Genomic DNA, 19,844 nt, shown 5'->3' with positions numbered 1-19,844 from the left:
TCTTTCTCTTTTACTGATAGTCCACATGGCCATAAGGGTTGTTTTTCAAAAGAATATCAGCACTTCCATTGTTTTGCGCGTTGCGTATTGCACAAAATTGTCACATTCACACTTTAGAAATTGTAGGTTTGCGGCCGGGCACGGTGGCTCATGCCTGTAATCCCAGCACTTTGGGAGGCCGAGGCAGGCGGATCACCTGAGGCCAGGAGGTCGAGACCAGACTGACCAACATGGAGAAACCTAGTCTCTACTAAAAATATAAAATTAGCTGACTGTGGTGACACATGCCCATAATCCCAGCTACTCGGGAGGCTGAGGCAGGAGAATCGCTTGAACCCAGGAGGCAGAGGTTGCAGTGAGCCAAGATTGTGCCATTGCACTCCAGCCTGGGCAACAAGAGTGAAGCTCCGTCTCAGAAAAAAAAAAAAGTAAAGAAATTGTAGATTTGCATATTTATTATGACTGTCTCCTGGCAGATGGGAGTGAAATATATTGTTCTAACATCAGTATGTCATGACAGGGAAGGAAAACCTATGACACATAAAGACACCTAAGCACTAGAGAACATCTTTTTTATGTCCTTAGTTCTCTGGCAGGCAAACTCCTTCTCATCCTTTAAAACCGCACATTAATATCCCTTCCTCGTGAAGCCTTTTAAAATATTCTCCACAAGAGTCAGTCAGTCCTTTTACTGGGCTAATGCCATATTTGGTTACTCTCTTCTTGTAGTGTTTATCACATTATATTGTATATATTGGTATATGATTCTGTCTGTCCTACTGCACTCCAGGCTCCTCAAGGACAGGGACAATGTCCCTGTTTTATTCATCCTTTGACTTTCAATATGTAGCCTAATGTCCAGCACATATCAATACATGTGTAACAGGCCAGGTGTGATGGCTTATGCTTGTAATCCCAGCACTTTGGGAGGCAGAGGCGGGTGGATCACCTGAGGTCAGAAGTTTGAGACCAGCCTGGCCAACATGGTGAAACCCTGTCTCCACTAAAAATACAAAAATTAGCCAGGTGTGGTGGCGGGTGCCTGTAATCCCAGCTACTCAGGAGGCTAAGGCAGGAGAATTGCTTGAACCCGGAAGGTGGAGGTTGCCGTGAGCCGAGATTGTGCCACTGCGTGCCAGCCTGGGGGACACAGCGAGACTCTGTCTCAAAATAAATAAAATAAATAAATAAATAAATGTGTAATAAATATTTGATTGCCTAGCATGATTCAGGCAGGGAGGTAAATACTTACTCACATTATCTCATTTAATTTTCACAACAGCCTCCTGAGTCCCATCATTATCATGGTTTATAGGTGAGGAAATTGAGACTAGGGTGGTGAAGTCACTTGCCTCAAGATGAACAGCTGGTAGATCACATGCGTGGTGGCACCGGGTGTGGCCCTGGAGGACTCGTGCTAGTGGATCTGTTTTTCTAGTGATTCTTTTGTTTTGTCCCTTAGAGTGATGATGCGGGTGTGCTGGTTGGTGAGACAGGACAGCCGGCACCAGCGAATCAGACTTCCACATTTGGAAGCAGTTGTGATTGGGCGTGGCCCAGAGACCAAGATCACTGATAAGAAATGTTCTCGACAGCAAGGTAACTGGTCATAGAAATGTGGAGATTACTATGGTTATGTGGGATAGTGATAACCAAAGATGCATATTTTCTGGGTGATCTTGATGGAAAATCTATTGTCTGCCAAAAATACAGCTCAGGAACTGAGCTCTTTTAGCCAACACCAGGGCCCTATTTATTCCTGATTCTGCCCTCCCAATGTGATAATGTTCAAGGCAGGGTGGGTGAAGGTTGGGAGCAGTCAAGTTCATACTGTTACCATGGGATGGTGGAATTGAGTCCTGCCCTCCTTTCCCCAGGGACATTGCTCAATGGGCAGCAAGATGTAAACTCTGGAGTCTACAGGTGAAACCATGTCTTTCTGAGAAGTAATGGGGTAGTGCCGTCCTTTACATATTGCTTCACGCAAAGTATTATGAGACAGTGGCATCTAGCACTTGTCTTAGGGTTTAATAACATGAAAGTCCTTGCCCTCAGAAAAAAATCCTTACCATGTACCTTGTTTTTTCCTGTAAACATGCACACTGCTGGCTGGAGTGTGACCCCCCCACAGCAAGGTTTCCCAAGGGTTCTGAACTTAGAGAGTTGGCATCTGCAGCACTGATTATGATCTTTCCTATATGAGTTAATCTAAGTGGAGGGATACAAAGCCATGCTTGAGCTGAGTAGGCCCAAGATGCAGAAGCAGTGGCTGCTTCTCTCTCTGTTCCCTTCCTCACAACAGCAACTGAAGGGGCATGTATGTGGCACCCTGTCCTCTCTGGGGAGCAGCTATGGTGGTTCTTCTTTCCTCCCTGTCTCAACTCCAGATACCTTGTTCATTTATCAGAACAGGAATGCTTAATGTTACCACTTCTCACACATGCTCAGATTGTTCTGTCTCTGCAATCATCTTTCTAGAACATTCTTTCCACTCCTTCTACCCAAAGCCACCTGAGTTTCTGTTTTCCAGGAATGTGTCTTTTACTGTTTTATCTTTTAAAGCATCTAATAGTTGTTGTTTTTCCAAAATAATAGTGGAAGCCTGATTTAATCCTTGGTCAAGAGTTCGTGTGAGAAATGGATCTTTTTTTTTTTTTTTTTTTTTTTTTTTCCTCCTGAGATAGGGTCTCACTCTGTTGCCCAGGCTGGAGTGTAGTGGTGCGATCTTGACTCACTGCAACCTCCACCTCCTGGGGCTCAAGTGATTCTCCCACCTCAGTCTCCCAAGTAGCTGGGACTACAGGCATGTGCCACCACACCTGGCTAATTTTTGTATTTTTTTGTAGAGACGGGGTATTGCCATGCTGCCCAGGCTGGGAGAAACAGGTCTTCTTTTCTGGCGGCAGAGTCTGTGATCATGAGCAGGCCAGGGGTTCTGGAATAGGGAAACTTGTGGGGATTAATTGAAGCTGCCTCATAGGGATCTTGGCAATAGCTAAGGGAGTATGTACGCTGTTGGACATTTTATGGAAGGATTTAAACCTTTAGAAATTGGTAGGATTTGGAGCTCCAGCCACCTGCAATAACAGGTGATTGCTAATAGGCCTTTAAGGAAACACCACCTGTTCAGCTGCCGCCTGTAGTGAAGCTTGTTTTCTTTAGGGAAGATAGGAGCAAGTGCCTGGTTCTTTGTTGCATTTGTGTTTAACTTTTTCCAATCTCTTTCAGTACAGTTGAAAGCAGAGTGTAACAAGGGATATGTCAAGGTAAAGCAGGTAGGTGTATTTATAACTTGGAATTTTATACTCGATGATTTTCTTATGCTGTTGACTTTAGAGTGTCTGTGCCAGCCAGTGAAGGCTTCTCTGTCATGTATGGAAGTGATGGAGTAATATAGGTGAACATAAGGCAAGGTGCTTGGCATATAGTAAGTGGTTAACATAGCAGTGGCTATCTTACTGTAGGTGCTGTTGCTATTATTATAATTATTTTCTGATTGTTTATTCCATAGGTAGGAGTCAATCCCACCAGCATTGACTCAGTCGTAATTGGGAAGGACCAAGAGGTGAAGCTGCAGCCTGGCCAGGTTCTCCACATGGTGAATGAACTTTATCCATATATTGTAGAGTTTGAGGAAGAGGCAAAGAACCCTGGCCTGGAAACACACAGGAAGAGAAAGAGATCAGGCAACAGTGATTCTATAGAAAGGGATGCTGCTCAGGAAGCTGAGGCTGGGACAGGGCTGGAACCTGGGAGCAACTCTGGCCAATGCTCTGTGCCCCTAAAGAAGGGAAAAGATGCACCTATCAAAAAGGTGAGGGTAGTGTGATTGGTAGATGATGTGGAGAAGAAATGAAATATAATGACTGCTTAATTGTTTTGTACACTTTAAAGTTCAGAAATGCGTGAGGGGTTATTAACCATGATGAAAGAGTCACTTGTTTGTGGCGTGAAAATCATTTGGATGAATGTTCCTTTATGTGCTTTTTTCTTAAATTCCTGAGGTAAGCCACCTGAAGGTACAACAATAATGGCAGTGTGTACTTAACATTGAACAACTAAAGTGGATCAGTTGTTTATGCATCTATAGAAGGTTTTCATAGATCATGTAATTCATATGCTGATGTCAAAGTGGAGAATTGGTCAGGCTGTAGCTGCAGTGAGAGAGGGCAAAGAAGGTATGACTCATACTCTGGCATTTCTCGCCTTCATTTAGAACAGCCAGCTGTGAATATAGGAAGGCTGGCTGGGTGCAGTGGTTCACGCCTGTAATCTCAGCGCTTTGGGAGGCCGAGGTGGGCAGATCACTTGAGGGTCAGGAGTTTGAGACCTGCCTGGCAAACATTGTGAAACTCCATGTCTACTAAAAATACAAAAATTAGCTGGGCCTGGTGGTACACACATGCTTGTAATCCCAGCTACTCGGGAGGCTGAGGCGGGAGGATTGCTTGAACCTGGAAGGCGGAGGTTGCAGTGAGCTGAGATTGCACCACTGCACTCCAGCCTGGGCGACAGAGCGAGACTCCATCTCAAAAAACAACAACAATAATAAAAAACAGCTGGGTGTGCTGGCTCACGCCTGTAATCCCAGCACTTTGGGAGGCCGAGATGGGCAGATCACCTGAGGTCAGGAGTTCGAGACCAGCCTGACCAACATGGCAAAACCTAATCTCTACTAAAAATACAAAATTAGCTGGGCGTGGTGGTGCATGCCTATAATCCCAGCAACTCCAGAGGCTGGGCAGGAGCATCGCTTGAACCCGGGAGGCAGAGGTTGCAGTGAGCCGAGATCACGCCATTGTACTCCAGCCTGGGCAACAAGAGCGAAACCCCATCTCAAAAAAAAAAAGAAAGAATATAGGGTCGGGTGTGGTGGCTCACGCCTGTAATCCCAGCACTTGGGGAGGTGGAGGCCAGTGGATCACCTGAGGTGAGGAGTTCAAGACCAGCATGGCCAACCTGGTGAAACTCCGTCTCTACTAAAAAATACAAAAGTTAGCTGGGCGTGGTGGTGGGCACCTGTAATCCCAGCTACTTGGGAGGCTGAGGCAGGAGAATCACTTCGGAGGTTGCAGTGATCACGCCGCTGCACTCCAGCTTGGGTGAGACAGAGTGAGACTTTGTCTCAAAAAAAAAGAGAATATAGGAAGGCAATGGAGTGAAGCAGAGTCAAGTGAATCTTGTTTAATTCTCAAAAACTAAGCTTATTTCCAAGTTTAGTTGTGCTATCACACAGTATTAACTGTTGCCAAATTTAATTATTGGCATTTGTAATTTACATTGCTTGTTTTTTTTTTTTTTTGTTTTTTTTTTTGTTTTTTTTTTAGGAATCCCTGGGCCACTGGAGTCAAGGCTTGAAGATTTCTATGCAGGACCCCAAAATGCAGGTCAGAATACAATTTTGGAATTTCAGTACATTTCATGTTGTAAATGACCACTCCACAGAGGTCTTAATTACAAATGAAATCAAAGGATATCAGTCTTTCTGAATGAGATTCATTTTATTGGGCTGTTCTGTGAGAACAAGAGGCTTTTCACATTGGCAATAAAGTAGCAGCTGTCATTGTTTGGAGAGAAAGCTGAGTTCTTCAAATGAATATCCCCTCTGCCTTGTGCCTTTTAAACTTCTGGGTACTTTAAGGGAAGTTGCATTAACCTTAGTATGGTTCCTTTCAGGGGAGCATCAGAGATAATACACTGTGACAGTAGTACTGTGCTGCCCTGGCATTAACAGTCAGACATCCCTGTAATCCCAGCACTTTGGGAGGCCGAGACGGGAGGATCACCTGAGGTCAGGAGTTCGAGATCAGCCTGACCAACATGGAGAAACCCTGTCTCTACTAAAAATACAAAAAATTAGCTGGGCATGGTGGTGCATGCCTGTAATCTCAGCTACTCGAGAGGCTGAGGCAGGAGAATCACTTGAATCCGGGAGGTGGAGGTTGCGGTGAGCTGAGATTGCACCATTGTACTCCAGCCTGGGCAACAAGAGCGAAACTCCATCTCAAAAAAAAAAAAAAAAAAAAAAAAACAGGCATCATCCTTGAGGAGCCTTTGAGTCCCACTTCAATTATATTCCTTGTTGACAAGGGGCAGGTCTAATAGGGCTCACTGGAACCCACGTGTACGTGTCACACAGTCTGCCATGTTGGAGTGGAGAAGGATGCTTTTGAATTTATGTCTACAGAGATTTTACATCACATTCTTGGGAACTATTTTGTACTGTGCATCTTCTGTGTATTCTGTGTAGTGTGGTGGTTGAAAACAGACTCTGGAGTCAACCACATCTGAGTTGGAATCCTAGATTTCCCTCTTAGGAACTATGACTTGTGCAAGACACTCAACCTGTCTGAATTTCAGTGCTCTCCTCTCTCAAAACTGGGCTATTAAAACCATTTGCACAAGACTGTGGGAATTAAGTGACTTAGTGAATATAACAACCAGGCACACAGAAGATTCTTAGTAGATGTCTGTTTCCTTCTCTTGTATCCCTCTGCTAGGTTTACAAAGATGAGCAGGTGGTGGTGATAAAGGATAAATACCCAAAGGCCCGTTACCATTGGCTGGTCTTACCGTGGACCTCCATTTCCAGTCTGAAGGCTGTGGCCAGGGAACACCTTGAACTCCTTAAGCATATGCACACTGTGGGGGAAAAGGTGATTGTAGATTTTGCTGGGTCCAGCAAACTCCGCTTCCGATTGGGCTACCACGCCATTCCGAGTATGAGGTAAGCCAGGTGGGTAGTGCTGCTGGCTCCTGGTTCTGTCCAGGTGGGCAGATAGATTCAGCCTGGGCTTGCTGAGGGCACATATTGCACTGAGACCCAGGGAAGTGGGATGGAGTTTTTCCAAAGCAGGTGGGCTGAAGCTTCCACCTCTCTGCCTGACTTGCATGCAAGCTTTGAGTTCCCACTTCTGCCTATAATTCAGTCATATTTGGTTCTTTGTTCCTCTCAAAATATAAATCTTCGAGAGCCTAATATATGAACTAGATGAAGCAGCTTCATTATCCTCAGATAAAGAATTGTGGTCAGTGGCTTTTATCAGATTCTTCAAAAGCGTCTATAACCCCAGAATGATTAAGGACCATTACTCTGAAGGAAACAAACATCATAGACTTCTGTAATGACAGCGTAGTAGATCCAGGATTTGAAAATAAAATGAGAGAAAAGTATAGAATTTGTTTTCCTGTGGCTTATGCCCAGAAGGATTCAGAAAGGAATGACTGATTTCTTTCAAAGAATACAAGCAAGGTGGATCTCCGTGATTTCTTTGATTTAAGCAATAAGATGATAAGTCTAGATTTTAGAGTTTTTATTTTGTTTTTAAAAAACTGTGATATAATATACATAACAAAATTTACATTTTAGTCATCTTTAAGTGTACAATTCATTGGCATTACTATATTCATATTACTATGCAACCATTACTACCATCTATCTCCAGAACTGTTTTCTCTTCCCAAATTGAAACTCTGTACCTTAAATAATAACTCTCCATTTCCCCCTCCCACTCCTGGCAACCACCATTGTACTTTCCTTCCCTGTGAATTTGACTACTCTAGGTACCTCATATTAGAGGAATCATACAAGGACATATTTGTCCTTTTGTGACTGGCTTATTTTACTTATTTACTTACTTATTTTACTTTACATAATGTCTTCAAGTCTTATCCATGTTGTAGCATGTGACAGGATTTTCTCTGCTTATTTTTTTTTAACTACCAACACTCACATTTTATTTAGGTGAATAATTATGACTTAGGTTACTGGCCACTTGAACCAAATGAAATCTTTGTGCCAGATTTTTCCCTAGTCAGTACTGATTCTTTTAAGTTGAGGCATAACTTACATACAATAAAGTGCATAATAAGATGCATAGTTTGATCAGTTTTCATAAGCGTGTATAATCTTTTCACTATCATTCTGATTAAGATACAGAAGATGTCTATCCTTTCATCCCAGAAAGTTCCCTTGTGCCCCTTTCCAGTTAATCCTCCCTCAAGCATTGCTTTTATTTCCTTCAGCATAGATAGTTTTTGTCTCTTCTAGAGCTACCATGTATAAATGGAATCATACATTGCATACTCTTTTTTGGTCTGGCTTTTTTGGGTCAGCATAATTTTGAGATTCATGTGTGTTATTGTGTATATCATAGACATATGTACTTTATTTATTTTTTTCCCCTTGAGTAAATATTTAGGGATCCCAGTCTGGGCAACATGGCAAAACCTGTCTCTACAAAAAATACAAAAAATTAGCCAAGGGTGGTGGTGCACACCTGCTACTTGGGAGGTTGAGTTGGAAGGATCACTTGAGCCCAGGAGGTTGAGGCTACAGTAAGCTATGATCACGCCATTGTACTCCAGCCTGGGCAACAGAGTGAGACTCTGTCTCAAAAAAGAAGAAGAAAAAAAAAGAATAAATATTTGGAGATGGAATTGTTAGGTCATAGGGTGGATGTATGTTGTACCTCACTTTAAAAATATAAATATATTTTTATTGTTAAAGGCTGATTTGAAAATTTAGGAGGGAAAGTCACCCATAATCCTGTTTCCCTAATGCAGAGCCCCTGACTAACAGAGCCCTTGGCCACTGAGCCCTTTTCACGTAGTGATCGTGATGCCCATACCTTTTTCCTACAGTGAATGTTGTCGTGCTAAGGAGAATGCTCACAGCAAGAGCTGTGGTAGGTATATATGGGAGGCAAAATGAGCCAATAAGCAAAGTTGCTATTTATATACCCTTTTATATTACTCTGTATGATGTAGTTTTGAATAAATGAACATATTAGAAAGGAAAAGGTGATAAACAAGTAAAATTATTTTTCCTATTGTAAAAGTAATGTTTTCAATTAAGAAAATATAAAAAATTAAGTATGAAAAAGAACAAAGACCTTTCATAATACTAACTGTAGATAACTAAACTATAGACCTTATTTTAGATAACTTACTAAACTGTAGACCTTATTTGAATTTCACCCATTTTTCCTGTATTGTTCTTTTTCTACTCCAGAATCCAATCTCACATTTCATTTATTTGTTCTCTCTTCTTAGTCTCCCTCAATCTGTGACAGTTCCTACTTTCCTGGCTTTCATGACCTTGACACTTTTGATGAATACTGGCTAATTGTCTTTAGGACGTCTTTTAATTTGGGTTTGTCTAATTTTGTTTTTCATGATTAGGTTGACGTTATGCATTTTTTTAATCACTGAAGTGATATTTCTGATTGTGTCCTTCTCAATATGTCATATGGGGGGGCATGATGTTGAGATGGTTTATTACTGATGATGTTAACCTTGATCATTTTGTTAAGGTGGTGTCTGCCAGGTTTTCACCTTCAAAATTACTGTTTTTTTTTTTTTAATTCATGAATATTTTGGGTTAGATATTTTGAGACTATACTACTATTTCTCCTCAAACTCGCACCCAATGATTTTAGCATCTATTGGTGCATCTTGCCTGTAATAGTTATTGTATTGGTATTTACTCTATGGTGACTTTATACTTCCTTCACCTAACTTATTAGTTGAAATTATTCTGTGTGAAAGCGCTGTTCTGTCTTTCTCATTAGTTCTTTATTCAATCATTTAATGGTATGGACTCATGGATGTTTATTCTATAGGTTATAATTCAATACTATAATTATTTTGTTGCTCAAATTGTTCAGCTTTGGTTATTGAAAGCTCCTTTAGGTCAGCTCTTGTGTCACTTAGATACGCCTTCAACATCTTTTGGGCAATTTATTTTCTGGCCCCACAAGATGTTCCAGGCTTATCTGGAATGAACCACTTCTCCAAAGAGCCCTAGGTCTTCTTGGGCACTAGGTTTCTGTGAGAGAAGTGGTTGATTCCAGGGTGTCCTTGCTTTCTAGGTCCTCTCAGCCATAGAGCCAGAAATGCATGTATGAATCCTAAGCCATACACACACACACACATACACACCCCTATAATTCTGTGTTTATCTACCTTTATTTGTATGTGAAAAACCATGAGTTCATACTGATATCTCTGACACCATTCCAACTCTAAGTTTCATTCTTGTTTCCCTTTTCCTTTTTTGTAACTACTTTCTCCAACAGTGAGAAACCTGGCTCTCATTAGTTACAATAAATTCATTTACTTGTTCAGTCCTAGTGTACCCATAAAATAGTTACAGGATTCCTAACCCATACCCCTGTGAGAAGGACATTTACTAACTAGAGTACAGTACTTGCCTATAGTTCTTTTTGTTTTTAGCCTTATCGTATCTAGTCAAAACACTGTTCTCCAAAGCTAGGTTACTATAGTATAGTTAATATATTTTCTTCCTCAATCCATTTAGTGTGGTTTCCTCATTCATTTGTAATACAGCTATGCTTATTTATTAGTGCTTATATTTCATTTTGGATTCTGCACACATGTTGATTGATTTTGATTATTTATTGGGAGAACGTGAAATATTACTGATTATAAGAGTGAAAGCTGTTATACAAAAAGGCATTCTACTTGGTTTAACAAGTCCAAAAGAGAATTCCTGATTTTCTTCCCCAAACCTGCTTTTTCACCTAACCTTCTTTATCTCAGTAAGTAACACTCTCCCAAAGCAACATGCAGCCCATTAATAAGTTCTGTTTGTTCTATTCCAAAATGCATTCAAAGTAGGATTGCTTGTTGACATCTCAGCTGCTACAGCTCAGCTCTAGTGTAGGCTGTGATTTTCTGGCCTAGACTGCTGTAGCAGCCTCCTTAACTGGTTTCTCCATGTTCCTCCCTATCCGTCCTTTCTTCACACAACAGTCAGAGTGATCTTTTAAACATGTAAATCAGGTTGCCCCTGTGGGCTTGGTTTGTGAGGAAGAGCCTGGCTCAGCCTGTCAGGACCACTGAGGCTTGTTTCTTGCCATCCTTTCCACCTCAGTTTTACACACTTCTCACCTCCAGCTGGCTGGGTGTGGGGAAGACCTGCCAGAGCCACATTGGACAAGGTGGTTCCCATTGCCAAGTAGATGGACAAGATGGTGCAGAAGAATACAGCTGGAGCATTGGATTTGCCAAAGGAGCTTAAAAATATTCCCATGACCATGGAATTATTACAGCCCCCAGAAGAATCAGAATATCAGTTAATGCTAATGGCAAGCAGCATAAAGATGAAGAAGTTACATCTTTAACAGTCTGTCATGAAATCTGGGAAAAAGTTACTATCAACCGAGAAAGACCCTGAAGAAAAGAAAAAAGAACCTGCAGTTACATTGCAGAATAACTCTGAAGCGAGAGAAGAAAGTAGCTCCGGTGGCAGTGCAAGCAGCAGAGAGGGTGAGACAAATGCTCTAGATACTCGTGTTTCATCTTTTATTCAGGAACGAAGCACTTCTGACTCTCTTTGGTTAAAGTGTTGCGAGGTGCTTGCTGCAGCTCTCCAAACAGGAGATGGCTACACTGCTATTGGAGCTGGTGAGGAAGAATTAGGATCTCAAATTGAGGAGGCTGTATATCAAGAAATTAAGGAATATAGGTACGAAATGCAAAAGTAGAGTATGAAGTAGGATATCAAATCTTAAAGAGCAAAGAATCCAAATTTAAGGGAAAATGTACCATGTGAGAATATTCCTCCTGTCTTATTTGCTAGAATGATGGCAGAGGAAATGGCTAGTGATGGGCTCAGAGAGATATGGAAAAACTTGACCAAAGAAGTCATCAGAGAGCATTAGGTGGCCAAGGCAGGTGGAACCCAGAGTGGCTTGTTCACATGTGCAAATGTAGTGCTGATGGACTGATAACATTCGTTGTCTGTAATGAATGTGGACGTCAGTGGAAGTTCTGTTGAGTTGGAATAACTACCAAAATATCTGGACTATTAAGAAATTAGATTTTGTATGTTCATTGCAGCACTATTCACAGTAGCAAAGACATGGGATCAACCATGATTGATGCCCGTCAGTAGTAGACTGGATGAAGAAAATGTGGTACATATACACCATGGAATACTACACAGCCATAGAAAAGAACGAGAACATGTCCTCTGCAGCAACATGGATGGAGCTGTAGGCCGTTATCCTAAGTGAACTAACACAGGAGCAGAAAACCAAATACCACATGTTCTCACTTATAAATGGGAGCTAAATACGGAGCACACATGGACACAAAGCAGGGAATGACAGACACTAGGGCCTATTTGACAGTGGCGGGAGGGAGGTGGGGGAGGATTGAAAAACTGCCTATGGGGTACTATGCTTATTACCTGGGTGGCGAAACAATCTGTATAGCAAACTCCTGTGACATACAATTTACCTATATAGCAAACCTGCACATGGATCCCTGAACCTAAAAGTTTTAAAAAGTTACCTATATTAAATATATTAATGATAGAAAAAAAGGAGAACCAACTTGGTAGTTAGCAAAACATAAGTTATATCCAAAAAAATATGCTTTTAGTAGTGTGATGGGACAGAAGCCCAATCATAGTAAATGGATCAAAAAGTGAATATCAACAATAGAGCTTTAGGGTTTGCGAACCACTGTTGTAAGAAAGTGGGTCATGGAAGTGGAGTCAGCAGAAACAGTGCTCATCTGGCTTGTAGTTAAGGGAGAATTGTAGCCTTTTCCTGTCCTGCTCTCCTGTCCCCCACCATGGATATTGAAGGTGGGAGGATACATACCATAAATGTTTATGGGACAGGTGATACCTCATTTAAAATCTGCTGTCTATTATTTATCAGAAATTGCACTTGAGCTTTATTTCTTTCATTTCATCATCTTAGCAACCCTGTAAAGTAGGTATCTTCACTTCCATTTCACAGATAGTGTTGCTGGGGCTTAGAAAATGATAACCCCAAATAAAGGCCTCAGAAGCAAAATTTCTCCTTGACCTTCTCCTGCTCCCGTCTCTTGCCCCTCATTCTCCCCCTAAGCAAGCCATAGAAACTATAATTCCTCTTTCTCAAGGCAGGTTATAGAAACTAGAACCTTCTTCCTCAAAGCCAACCAAAAACCCCAAAATATTACTCTAACCTTCTTTTCTATGTAGACCTGGCTATAAAGAAATTCCCTGATCTACCTTGTTTGATGGTAGGTCATAAGACTGCCATTCCCATACCTGGGAAGAAGGAATGCTGCACAAAGAGGTTAAGAAGAATCTGGACAGACAGGCCTTGCTGAGTTTCCCCACTCAGTCTATTCTCATTAAGTCGTATACCCTTTTGAAGCAGTAGTGGTTCTACATGGCTTTCCATTCTTCAACAAACCCAAGTGTAAAAATGGATAGTTTTCCCCGTATCTTTGCATCTTCATTTGGAAGGCTCCTGTGTCACATAAAACTTGGATTAAATAAATTTGTTATGCTTTTCAAAAAACAAAAAAGGATGGATTTTGTAATTAGATTTAAAACTGGCCAAGCAACTAGTTTTCCTACAAATTAGATTTTTAAAGCAACACACTTGGGTTAGTCCTTGTTTTTGACCTAATGCCCCTTCTTTAAATACCTTCTTATATCAGAGACCATATGATAATTATATGGTATCTGTTTCCGTTTTTTTTTTCTTTTTCTTTTTTGAGACAGAGTCTCACTCTGTTGCCCAGGCTGGAGTGCAGTGGTGCAATCTCAGCTCCCTGAAACCCCTGCCTCCTGGGTTCAAGCTAGTCTCATGCCTCAGCTGTCCGAGTAGCTGGGATTACAGGCATGCGCCACCACGCCCAGCTAATTTTTGTATTTTTAGTAGAGATGGGGTTTTGTCATATTGGCCAGGCTGGTCTTGAACTCCTGGCCTCAAATGATCCACCTGCCTTGGCCCCCCAAAGTACTGGGATTACAGGTGTGAGCCACTGCACCCAGGTTTTTTCCCCCCCATTTTTATAAATGAATTTTTTTATTCATTTTTTGTTTTCGTTTTTGTTTTAAGAGATGGGAGTCTCACCCTCTCTCCCAGTCTGGAGTACAGTGTCAAGATCATAGCTCACTGCGGCCTTGAACTCCTCGGCTCCAGGTATCCTTTTGCCTCAGCCTCCCGAGTAGCTGGGGCTATGGGTGTGCCACCATGCCTGGCTGATTAAAACAATTTTTTAGAGATGAGGGTCTCACTATGTTGCTCAGGCCAATGTTGAACTCCTGACCTCAAGTGATCCACCTGCATCAGCCTCCTGAGTAGCTGGGATTACAGGTATGAGCCACGTGCTTGGGTCATTTTTATAAATTGATATGAAACTTTTATCAATTAAAATTCTGGTAATTTATTTTTATCTCTTAAGTGAAAATGTACCTTGACTTTTTTATTTTTTAACGGTTTAAAACATGTGCAGTAGAAATTCTCTGTTAATACATAAATGGAAATTACATTTTTTTTCATATTGGCGTGTATCTACAAATATTAAAGGACAAGAAAAGGTAATATAATTTTAGGTTTAACAAATATGGTGTATATTCAAATAATACTTGACCAGCTTATCTAAATTGTACATAATATTTGGACTAGCATATGAATTTGATTTTAATTATTATGTTCACAAGCCTGGGATAATTAGATGTTATTTTGCATCTGTAACTGTAATCATTTCTTGTAATTTCTTGTGCAGGTGTATTGTACTTAATAGATTTTACTTTTGGAAATATGACTGTTGAAATTAGCTTAGCTTTTATTTACTGTTTGTAGAGTATTTTCGTTTTGGAGAAGAACACTGTTTTAGTTTAGGACGCTTTTCAAGAGTGAAAGCTTCTGATGATTTTTTTCCCTCATAGGAAGAAATACTGGAAAGAAAATGTTAGTATAATGCAGTTATTGTAACAGCTTATGACTTGATTTTGATTTGGAAACCTATACTGACCAGATATTAAGCTTAAGGATTGTATAAATCATTAAAGCTGTGGTCTTTTCATATGGAGGTTGATAGATAATTTTTTTGTCTTGAGTCTTATTTGGTGACTTTCTATTCATGTAATTCATCATGTGTGAGTGAGGTTGTTGAACAAACTGAACACATGGGCTACAGCAAGTAGTTTTTATTTTTTTTTATTATACTCAAGTTCTAGGGTCCATGTGCACAACAGGCAGGTTTGATACATAGGTATACATGTGCCATGTTGGTTTGCTGCGCCCATCAACTCATCATTTACATTAGGTATTTCTCTTAATGTTGTCCCTCCCCGAGCCCCCCACCCCCCTGACAGGCCCCGGTATGTGATGTTCCCTGCCCTGTGTCCAAGTGATCTCATTGTTTAGTTCCCACCTATGAGTGAGAACATGCAGTGTTTGGTTTTCTGTCCTTGTGATAGTTTATAGCAAGTAGTTTTACAGTACAGATCTTTCCATTACATTTTATTGTTTAAACAAAACAAAATTTGTTTTTCTGTTAGGAATAAGAAAAAAATGGTTTTTACATAGGTTCTTACGGTACGCTTGGAGTACACTTACAGGCCACTGCTGCAGTCTACATTTTATTGTGCTGAATCTGCATTCTATCAGATACCCATGGAAAGACCTCAGTATATGCTTTGCACTCTGCTTTGCTCCCCTTTTCCAATTTCCTATTGCAAATCATTTTGATGTAATACAGAAAAAACAGCATTTAAATATCTACATGAAGAGTTGACCCACTAATGTCAGCCGACCTCTACTTTGTCAGCTCATAGTTAAATCTTTTATCATTTCAAAAATAAAGTGCATTTTCTTTTTCTTTTTCTTCTTTTTTTAGTGATGGAGTCTAACTTTGTCACCCAGGTTGGAGTGCAGTAGCATGATCTCAGCTCACTGCAACCTCCACCTCCTAGGTTCAAGTGATTCTCCTGCCTCAGCCTCCCAAGTAGCTGGGATTACAGGCACCTGCCACCACGCCCAGTTAGTTTTTTGTATTTTTAGTAGTTAGTTTCACCATGTTGGGCAGGCTGTTCTTGAACTCCTGACCTCAAGTGATCCACCTGCCTCGGCCTCCCAAAGTGCTGGGATTACAGGCGTGAGCCGCCGCACCTGGTTGCATTTTCAAAAGAATGAATTTAAGAATAATAAAATTAAAATAGGCCCACTTTTAAATTGTGGTCCATTTTATAATTCAATTTTTATTGTTAACAAAAAAAAAGAGTATAAATCAGATAGTAGCACTCTTCGGCTGAAAATCCTTCAATGGCTTCCCAGTAGATTCAGAATAGAATGCAAACCCTTTGTCACCTTTAAGAGGCTTTATGACCTGGCTCCTGCCTCGTTTCTGCTGCTTGGCTCCAACAATTCAGGCCATACATTTGGGCCATATTACCTTCTTTCTCTTTCTTGGTTGCACTGAGCTTTTCCTCATCTCAGGGCCCCTGCTCTTGGCCTCCTCACTTTCTGAGACACTCTTCCCACAGACCTAGCTTGCTTGGGTGCTGTCTCCGTTCAAATCACTTCCCGGGAGATGCTTTCCCTGAACACTGTTAACTAAAGAGGGCAGCTTCTACCCCTGGGCACTCTATCCCATTTTCCTTGTTTATTTTTTCTTGGCAATGTTAATTCTTTAAGTTTTTTTTTGTTTGTTTATTTGTTTGCTTATTTATTATTTGTCTTTCCTCATTAGCGTACAATTTCTATAAGGGCAGAGGCTTTTCCCATTTTGTTTCTTGCTAAAGTCTCAGTGCCTGGAACAGTGTTTGGCCATAGTACATACTTATTGAGCATTAAATATTCTTAAGTAAATGAATGAATCAATTGAATTAAATGGACACACTATCACTTCAATAGTATGAATATTCAAAGAGTATTCAATAGTATGAATATACAATGTACTCATACTCTTTGTCATTTTGATTAAGCCATAGTTGTTAAAGAGTTTAATGCTCAGTTTTTTTTTCTTTCAACTAGCCATGTACATCTTCATGTGATCAGCCAGGATTTTGATTCTCCTTGCCTTAAAAACAAAAAACATTGGAATTCTTTCAATACAGAATACTTCCTAGAATCACAAGGTAAACAGTGTTCCTTGGTTTTCACATTTGTTTCATTTTCTGAGCTGTTCTTATATTTGATTTGGTTGTTTCCCTGAATAACAGTCTGACCTCAAAAACCTATGTACAACTTTGTGTTCCCTATAAAGCGAGCCCTGTGAAAAGAAACTGGATTATTTGGATTGTAGTATTATTGCCACTTTGCTGTGAGTTGTCTTCTTGGGGGACCTAGAAAGCTATTATGTCAGGGTCAGTGTTTTATTGTGACAAAAGGGGACTTAAAGGCTGCCGTGAGAATTAGTGGAGTTCATGGATAAGAAAGCTGTGGACAATTCTTTGTCTCTTCTGCCATCAGTTGGGTGGGAGCTTTGGGGCTGCCTCCTGTCAGGAGTGGTGAATTAGCAGGGGGAACCCTGTGTATATGTAGAAGAAAGCATTTTCTGGTGTGTGATGCTTTCTTACACACCAGGAAAGCATTTCCTGGTGTGTAAGAACTTAAGCATTGATGGGGTGTTCACAATGGCAGCTGGCATTTACCAAGGGCCAACCAGAGGTAAAGCACTCTGATGAGCTCTTGACAGAGTAACATGGATTGCCTAGAGTGTGTCCTGAAGGAGTGTATTATTTCAAAGGTGGGTTGCTCATATTTATAATCTGATTAAGCTCATTTTGCCTGAGGGAAGTCTAAACTAAGCTTACGGAGCTGTAGAATACCTGGCCTGGCATACTGATTGGAGTCACGTTTTTGATTTTTTTTTTTTTTTTTTGGTATCTCATATTGGTTTTCCAGAGTAGCTGGGATTTGACTTTTCTTCCTTGCCTGCAGCTGTGATCGAGATGGTACAAGAGGCTGGTAGAGTAACTGTCCGAGATGGGATGCCTGAGCTCTTGAAGCTGCCCCTTCGTTGTCATGAGTGCCAGCAGCTGCTGCCTTCCATTCCTCAGCTGAAAGAACATCTCAGGAAGCACTGGACACAGTGATTCTGCAGAGCCTGAGCTGCTGCTGTGGTGTGGCCCACTGGAGCAAACTGCTGGCACCTATTCTGGGTTGCTTGTGAACTTCTACTCATTTCCTAAATTAAAACATGCAGCTTTTTCACAAATTTATTCTATTATTGAGTGGCCACAATGTAGAGTGGCTCAAAGTACTTCAGGATTAGGAATTTGGGTTTGTCATAGATGTATTCTCTGGTGAGGGTGGCTGGGATATACCTGACCCACCATCTTCAGAAGGACCCATGTCAGGTCTGACCATTGGGAGCAAAGCCATGTTCACACTGACCTAATGCAGAGTATGGAAGCATTGGGCTGGTTATACATTTCTGTTTCTTAGATTTATCCTCCGCCTCTGTAGGCATGGACAACCTTTAATCAGAGCATCTAGAGTGGCCTCTTGTTTATCCTGAAGATACTGATGGGTCTTGTTTTCTGTTAGTCTGTTTTGTAATATTCTTTTCCCTTCCTTCATGGGGAGGCTTAGTTTGTCCAGTCCTTCCATGCCCTTCTATCCCAGATTACCTAAATGTTCCCTTCTCAGGAATTCTGTCTCATCAGTTCTTCACAGTGAGAAAAGAGGCTAGATGATGGTGTGGGGGGTTGGAGTTTTCTTCTAATACCGAGGGTTCCTGGCTGTGAGGAAACAGCCACATGTTCGTCATGATTGAGCTGTGAAGTCTTCTTGGACCTGTTGTCTGAAAATAAAGTTAATTTGTTTGAGGCATCTCTCTTAAGTAGGTGGAAACTATTGAAGTTCAGCTAACAATCACAGCATAGGTTCTGATGCATGGAAAGGTGGTTGGTGAATGAAAAAGTTGCGTAGAGCCACTACTTTCTTTTTCCCTGAGAATAAATTTGGATAAAACAGTTGTATTCAGTTGTTTTTTGGGATAATATTAGAACTAAAGGTGAAGGGAAAACTAAAAAGTTGGGTTTGATGAAATTGTGGATATCTTTGGGGATGTGACTTTTCACTCAAGTTGTGAGAAAAAAGGAAACACCCTTAACAAAAGCTTCTTCTGGAGAGAAAAAGCCACAGTCCATAGAGACATTTGACCTCAATGTCTTTCACAAACAAACAAGATGCCACAGTGGTTACTTAGTGAACATAGGTATAGTAATAATTATATAATTAATGATCATAGCAGCTCACATTTGTCTGACTCCTGTGTGTCCTGCATTATGCTAAACACTGTACTCAAGTGATCTCATTGAATTCTCACTGTACATAACTCTATGAGGTTACGTGCTATTGTTATGCCCCTTTAGTGGATGAGCATCTAATATTCTACAATGGTTCCTGGGCACTATCCAAAGTTGGTATTGATTCTGATGCATCAACTCATTATTTTTCTTATCAATTGAACAGTATAAATGCAAGACTAACAGCAGAAGCCATAGAACCCAGGGGCCTTGGACCTGTGCTGATCAAAAGCTTTCCGTGGCATTTCATTGATTTCCCTGAGATCAGCCAGTTCCTTTAGCCCTTTTTGTCCATCTCTCATTCCCAACATCTTTCATCTCTTTTCTCTGCTCCTTCTGCACTCCAGGATTGTAATCCTTAGGTCATTAGTCCATCCATCCATAGTTCTTCTATCTGGCTTGATGCTGGACCTTTGGGCCTGCTTGATTGTCTGCTTCGTCTCCTGAGGTGGTTGTCTACATACACTGTGGCTCCTGGACGTTCTTCCCCAACCCAGCTGCAGAGGGCATGTGGCTTCATAGCCTTTTATTTGCTGTCATCAGGTACCAGGCACAGAAACTCTTGAAAATTGTCTGGGCACGGTGGCTCACGCCTGTAATCTCAGCACTTTGGGAGGCCGAGGCGGGCAGATCACAAGGTCAGGAGATCGAGACCATCCTGGCTAACATGGTGAAACACCGCCTCTACTAAAAATACAAAAAAAAAATTAGCCGGGCATGGTGGCGGGCACCTGTAGTCCCAGCTACTTGTGAGGCTGAGGCAGGA

General features: G+C 41.1%; 1 protein-coding gene and 1 pseudogene across 36 annotated transcripts in view; both read left to right on the top strand.

The window, feature by feature from the left end:
• APTX (aprataxin) overlaps positions 1-18,742 on the top strand; it is a 52,505-nt gene extending 33,763 nt beyond the window's left edge. For 7 of the 36 annotated variants that reach the window (NM_001368996.1, NM_001368995.1, NM_001368997.1 and 4 more), the window contains 7 exons: positions 1,463-1,599; positions 3,229-3,275; positions 3,512-3,814; positions 5,328-5,387; positions 6,501-6,727; positions 16,797-16,900; positions 17,706-18,742. In NM_001368996.1, coding sequence (NP_001355925.1) covers positions 1,467-1,599; positions 3,229-3,275; positions 3,512-3,814; positions 5,328-5,387; positions 6,501-6,727; positions 16,797-16,900; positions 17,706-17,860 — 1,029 coding nt within the window. In that variant the 5' untranslated portion in view covers positions 1,463-1,466 and the 3' untranslated portion in view covers positions 17,861-18,742. Of the gene's footprint in view, positions 1-1,438; positions 1,600-3,228; positions 3,276-3,511; positions 3,815-5,327; positions 5,388-6,500; positions 6,728-16,796; positions 16,901-17,669 lie in introns of all 36 variants that reach the window. The other 29 variants (NM_001369002.1, NM_001369003.1, NM_001370669.1 and 26 more) reach the window with 13 other exon arrangements.
• Positions 14,156-14,969, top strand: TCEA1P4 (transcription elongation factor A1 pseudogene 4; annotated as a pseudogene).

The sequence above is a fragment of the Homo sapiens genome, chromosome 9 (genome assembly GCF_000001405.40).
Source record: "Homo sapiens chromosome 9, GRCh38.p14 Primary Assembly".
NCBI classification, from domain to species: domain Eukaryota; kingdom Metazoa; phylum Chordata; class Mammalia; order Primates; family Hominidae; genus Homo; species Homo sapiens.
The sequence above is the reverse complement of the archived record's forward strand: the minus strand, read 5'-3'. Positions and strand labels throughout refer to the sequence as shown.